Source organism: Homo sapiens, chromosome X (genome assembly GCF_000001405.40).
Source record: "Homo sapiens chromosome X, GRCh38.p14 Primary Assembly".
NCBI lineage: Eukaryota > Metazoa > Chordata > Mammalia > Primates > Hominidae > Homo > Homo sapiens.
Window position 1 is genome coordinate 74,565,413 of NC_000023.11, and position 5,729 is coordinate 74,571,141.

A 5,729-nucleotide genomic window follows, 5' to 3' on the forward strand; every position below is an offset into this window, starting at 1 on the left:
TCGAGCTACCGTATGATCCAGCAATCCCACTGCTGGGAATTTACCCAAAAGAAAAGAAATCAGTGTATTGAAGAGATATCTACATGCCCATATTTGTTGCAGTACTGTTCACAATAGCTTAGATTTGGAAGCAACCTAAGTGTCCATCAACACATGAATGAATAAAGAAATGTGGTATATATACAGAATGGAGCACTATTCAGCCTTAAAACAATGAAATCTAGTCATTTGCAACAATATGGATGGAACTGGAGATCATTATGTTAAGTTAAATAAGCCAGGCACATAAGACAAACATCTCATGTTCTAACATATTTGTGGGATCCAAAAATCAAAACAATCGAAGTCATGGAGATAGAGAGTAAAAGCGTGGTTATCAGAGACTGGGAAGGGTAGTGGGGATGTTTAATGAGTACAAAAAAAAAAAAAAACCAGAAAGTATGAATAAGACCTAGTATTTGATAGTACAACACAACGGGGTTACTATTGTCAAAATAATTTAATTGTACATTTTACAAGGACTAAAAGAGTATGACTGGATTGTTTGAAACACAAGGATAAATGCTTGAGAGCATGGATACCCCATTTTCCATGATGTGATTATTATGTATTGCATGGCTGTATCAAAATATCTTGTGTACCCCACAAATACATAGATCTAATATATTCCCTCATAAGTTAAAAATAAAATTTAAAAAGTTCCCTGAAAAGGAAGCTTCTCCAAAAGAAAAACCTATGTGGAGCCAGTCATTCAGTCATCAGAAAATTTAATCAAATGTTCAAAGAAGAATTAACGGCAATTTTATATAATCCCTTCCAGAAAACATAAAAGTAGGAAATCACTTCCCAACTGATTTTATGAGGTCAGTATTACCTTGATACTAAAACCAAACAAAGACAGTACAAAAAAAGAAAGGACCATAGACCAATATACCTTATGAATACAGATGTAAAATTCTTCAGAAAATATTAGCAAACCAAATCCAATAATGTATAAAAAGAATTACACACCATGACCAATTGGAATTTATTATAAATATGCAAGGCTGGCTTAATATTTGAAGCTCACTCAATGTAATAAGCCATATCAACAAATTAAGAATCCTATGATCTTTTTTCAATTATATGATCCTACCAATTGGTGCAGAAGAAGCATTTGACCAAATCCAACACCTATTCATGATTTAAAAAAAACAACAACCAAACAACTTGCAGCAAGTTAGGAATGAAGGGGGACTACTTCAACATGATAAAGAGCATCTACAAATACAAATCCACTCTCACCACTCTTATTTACACAGTATTGGAAGTTCTAGCCAAAACAAGAAGGCAAGGAATATAAATAAGTTGTATATAGATTGGAAAGGAGTAAATAAAACTATTTGGCAGTGACATGATGGTCTATATAGAAAATGCCCAGAAATATAACAAAACCTTACAGAACTAATAAGTTCAGCCTCAGTATACAATATCAACACACCAACATACAAAAATCAATCATATTTCTATAAACTATCAATGAATATGCAGAAACTGAAGTTGAAAATGCAACAGCATTTCTAATCACTACAACGAAAATGAAATACTTAGATGCACACTTAACAAAATGTACAGTGGATCTCTGCTGAAAATTTCAAAATACTGATGAAAGAAATCAAGGAAGACATAAATAACTGGAAAGATATTCTGTGTTCATAGACTGGAAGACTCAACAAAGATATCAATTTGGAAAAAACTGACATACGCTATCAAAATACTAGCATTATATTTTTTTGGTAAGCATAAATGAGATTATTCTAAAATTTATATGGAAAGGTAACAATACTAGAATAGTTACATTGATTTTGCAGAAGAATAAAGTGGGAGGAATCAATCCATCTGATTTTTTTTTTCTTTTTAGAGACAAAGTCTTGCCATGTTGCCCAGGTTGGCCTTGAACTCCTGGGCTCAAGGGATCCTCTTGCCTCAGCCTCCCAAATAGCTGGGATCACAGGCATTCAACACTGTGCCCAGCTCCATCTGATTTTAAGAATTATTATTGTTATAGTAATTAAGACTGTGTGGTATTAGTAGAGGAATAGATATATAGAACAATGGAATAGAATAGAGAAGCTTGACATAGTATGGCACACAATTATGACCAACTGATGTTTCACAAATGTGCAAAATCAATTTGATTGAGAAATGATAAACTTTTCAACAAATGGTGCTGGAGTAATTGGCTATCCATAGGCAAAAAGACACAAAAATAAATTCAAAATGGATCATAGACTTAAATGTAAAATGTAAAACTACAACACTTTTAAAAGAAAACAGGAGAAAATCTTCAGGACCTAGAGCTTGGAGCAGAGTTTCTTAGACATGACACCAAAAGCACAATTCACAGTAAAAATAATAAACTGGACTTCACCAAAAGTAAAAACTTTTGTTTTGCAAAGCAATTTGTTTTTTTTTTTTGTTTTTTTTTTTATTTTTTTTATTTTTTTTATTTTTATTTTTATTTTTATTTTTTTTATTGATCATTCTTGGGTGTTTCTCGCAGAGGGGGATTTGGCAGGGTCATAGGACAATAGTGGAGGGAAGGTCAGCAGATAAACAAGTGAACAAAGGTCTCTGGTTTTCCTAGGCAGAGGACCCTGAGGCCTTCCGCAGTGTTTGTGTCCCTGGGTACTTGAGATTAGGGAGTGGTGATGACTCTTAACGAGCGTGCTGCCTTCAAGCATCTGTTTAACAAAGCACATCTTGCACCGCCCTTAATCCATTTAACCCTGAGTGGACACAGCACATGTTTCAGAGAGCACAGGGTTGGGGGTAAGGTCACAGATCAACAGGATCCCAAGGCAGAAGAATTTTTCTTAGTACAGAACAAAATGAAAAGTCTCCCATGTCTACTTCTTTCTACACAGACCCGGCAACCATCCCATTTCTCAATCTTTTCCCCACCTTTCCCCCCTTTCTATTCCACAAAACTGCCACTGTCATCATGGCCCGTTCTCAATGAGCTGTTGGGTACACCTCCCAGACGGGGTGGTGGCCGGGCAGAGGGGCTCCTCACTTCCCAGTAGTGGCGGCCGGGCAGAGGCGCCCCTCACCTCCCGGACGGGGTGGCTGGCCGGGCGAGGGGCTGACCCCCCCCACCTCCCTCCCGGACGGGGCGGCTGGCCGGGCAGAGGAGCTCCTCACTTCCCAGTAGGGGCGGCCAGGCAGAGGCGCCCCTCACCTCCCGGACGGGGCGGCTGGCCGGGAGGGGGGCTGACCCCCCCACCTCTCTCCCGGACCGGGCGGCTGGCCGGGCGGGGGGCTGACCCCCTCACCTCCCTCCCGGACGGGGCGGCTGGCCTGGCGGGGGCTGACCCCCACCTCCCTCCCGGACGGGGTGGCTGCCGGGCAGAGACGATCCTCACTTCCCAGACGGGGTGGCTGCTGGGCGGAGGGGCTCCTCACTTCTCAGACGGGGCGGTTGCCAGGCAGAGGGTCTCCTCACTTCTCAGATAGGGCAGCCGGGTGGAGACGCTCCTCACTTCTCAGACGGGGCGGCTGCTGGGTGGAGGGGCTCCTCACTTCTCAGACGGGGCGGTTGCCAGGCAGAGGGTCTCCTCACTTCTCAGATAGGGCAGCCGGGTGGAGACGCTCCTCACTTCTCAGACGGGGCGGCTGCTGGGTGGAGGGGCTCCTCACTTCTCAGACGGGGCGGTTGCCAGGCAGAGGGTCTCCTCACTTCTCAGATGGGGCAGCCAGGCAGAGGCGCTCCTCGCATCCCAGACGGGGCGGCGGGGCAGAGGCGCTCCCCACATCTCAGACGATGGGCGGCCGGGCAGAGACGCTCCTCACTTCCTAGATGGGATGGCGGCCGGGAAGAGGCGCTCCTCACTTCCTAGATGGGCTGGCAGCCGGGCAGAGACGCTCCTCACTTTCCAGACTGGGCAGCCAGGCAGAGGGGCTCCTCACTTCCCAGACGATGGGCGGCCGGGCAGAGACGCTCCTCACTTCCCAGACGGGGTGGCGGCCAGGCAGAGGCTGCAATCTCGGCACTTTGGGAGGCCAAGGCAGGCGGCTGGGAGGTAGAGGTTGTAGCGAGCCGAGATCACGCCACTGCACTCCAGCCTGGGCACCATTGAGCACTGAGTGAACGAGACTCCGTCTGCAATCCCGGCACCTCGGGAGGCCGAGGCTGGCGGATCACTCGCGGTTAGGAGCTGGAGACCAGCCCTGCCAACACAGCAAAACCCCATCTCCACCAAAAAAATACGAAAACCAGTCAGGCGTGGTGGCGCGCGCCTGCAATCGCAGACACTCGGCAGGCTGAGGCAGGAGAATCAGGCAGGGAGATTGCAGTGAGCCGAGATGGCGGCAGTACAGTCCAGCTTCCGCTCGGCATCAGAGGGAGACCGTGGAAAGAGAGGGAGACCGTGGGGAGAGGGAGAGGGAGAGGGGGACGGGGAGGGGGCGCAATTTGTTAAGATGATAAAAAGACAAGCTACACTTGGAGAAAATATTTGCAAATCACATACCTAACAAAAAACTCATATCCAGAATATTAAAAAAAAATGGAAAAACCTCAAATAACCCAATTTAAAAGTGGGCAAAAGACATAAAGAGACATTTCATTAAAGACAATATATGTATGGCACATAATCACATGAAAAGATGTTCAAGGCTGGGCACAGTGGCTCACACCTGTAATACCAGCACTTTGGGAAGCTGAGGTGGGAGGATTGTTTGAGCCCGGGAATTCAAGACCAGCCTGGGCAACAAGGTGAAACCCCCTCCCAAGAGGATCACTTGAGCCTGGGAACTCAAGGCTGCAGTGATCCATAATCGTGCCACTGCACTCCAGCCTGGGTGATGGATAGAGTGAGACCCTGTCTCAATAAAAGAAAAGAAAAGAACAGGAAAAGAAAAGAACAGAAAAAAAAGAAAGAAAAAAGAAAAGAAAAAGTTCAACATTACTTGCATTAGGGAAATGCAAATGAAGGTTACTACACATTCATTAGAATAGCTAAATAATGGTTATAAAATATTACCAAATAATACCAAATGCTGGTGAGATCATGGAGAAATTGTCTCTTTCATACATTGCTGTGGGAATGTAAAATGTTACAGCCACTGTAGAAAATAGTTTGACAGGCTTTTAAAAAGGTAATTATGTATTACCACACAACCCAAAACTGTACTCCTGGGCATTTATCTCTGAGGAGTAAAAACATATGTCCACACAAAACCTCTACATGATTATTCATGGAATTATTTGTAATATCAAAAATCTGGAAGCAACCATAAAGTCCTGTAATAGGTGAATGGTTAAATATTGTGGTACATACACACAATGAAACACTACTCAGCTTTAAAAAGGAACAGACTATTGATACATGCAACAACTTGGATGGGTCTCAAGGGCATTAGGCTAATGACAAAAAGCCAGTCTTAACAAGTCACAGAGTGTATGATTCCTTTTATATAACATTCTCAGAATGACAAAATGATAGAGATGGAGGAATTTGTGATTGCCAGGGGTTGGGAAGTGGTGGGGGTGAAGCAGGTATGAGTATGAATATAAATTGGTAGGTGAGGGAGATCTTTGAGGATGATGGAATAGTTCTGCATCTTCATAGCTACGGTGGCTGTAAGGATTTAAACACGATAAAACAGCATAGAACTACCACACACACATTGTACCAATATCAATTTCCTGGTTATGATATTGTATTATAGTTACATAAGATGTAGCC

The 5,729-nt window shown here is 43.7% G+C and overlaps 1 annotated feature.

Moving 5' to 3' along the window:
- Nucleotides 2,422–3,402: an enhancer, noted in NCBI's record as "NANOG-H3K27ac hESC enhancer chrX:73787669-73788649 (GRCh37/hg19 assembly coordinates)". NCBI's record gives its function as "activates a minimal SCP1, AML or CMV promoter by ChIP-STARR-seq in naive H9 embryonic stem cells {active_cell/tissue: H9 hESC(naive)}" and the evidence as "EXISTENCE:reporter gene assay evidence [ECO:0000049][PMID:30033119]".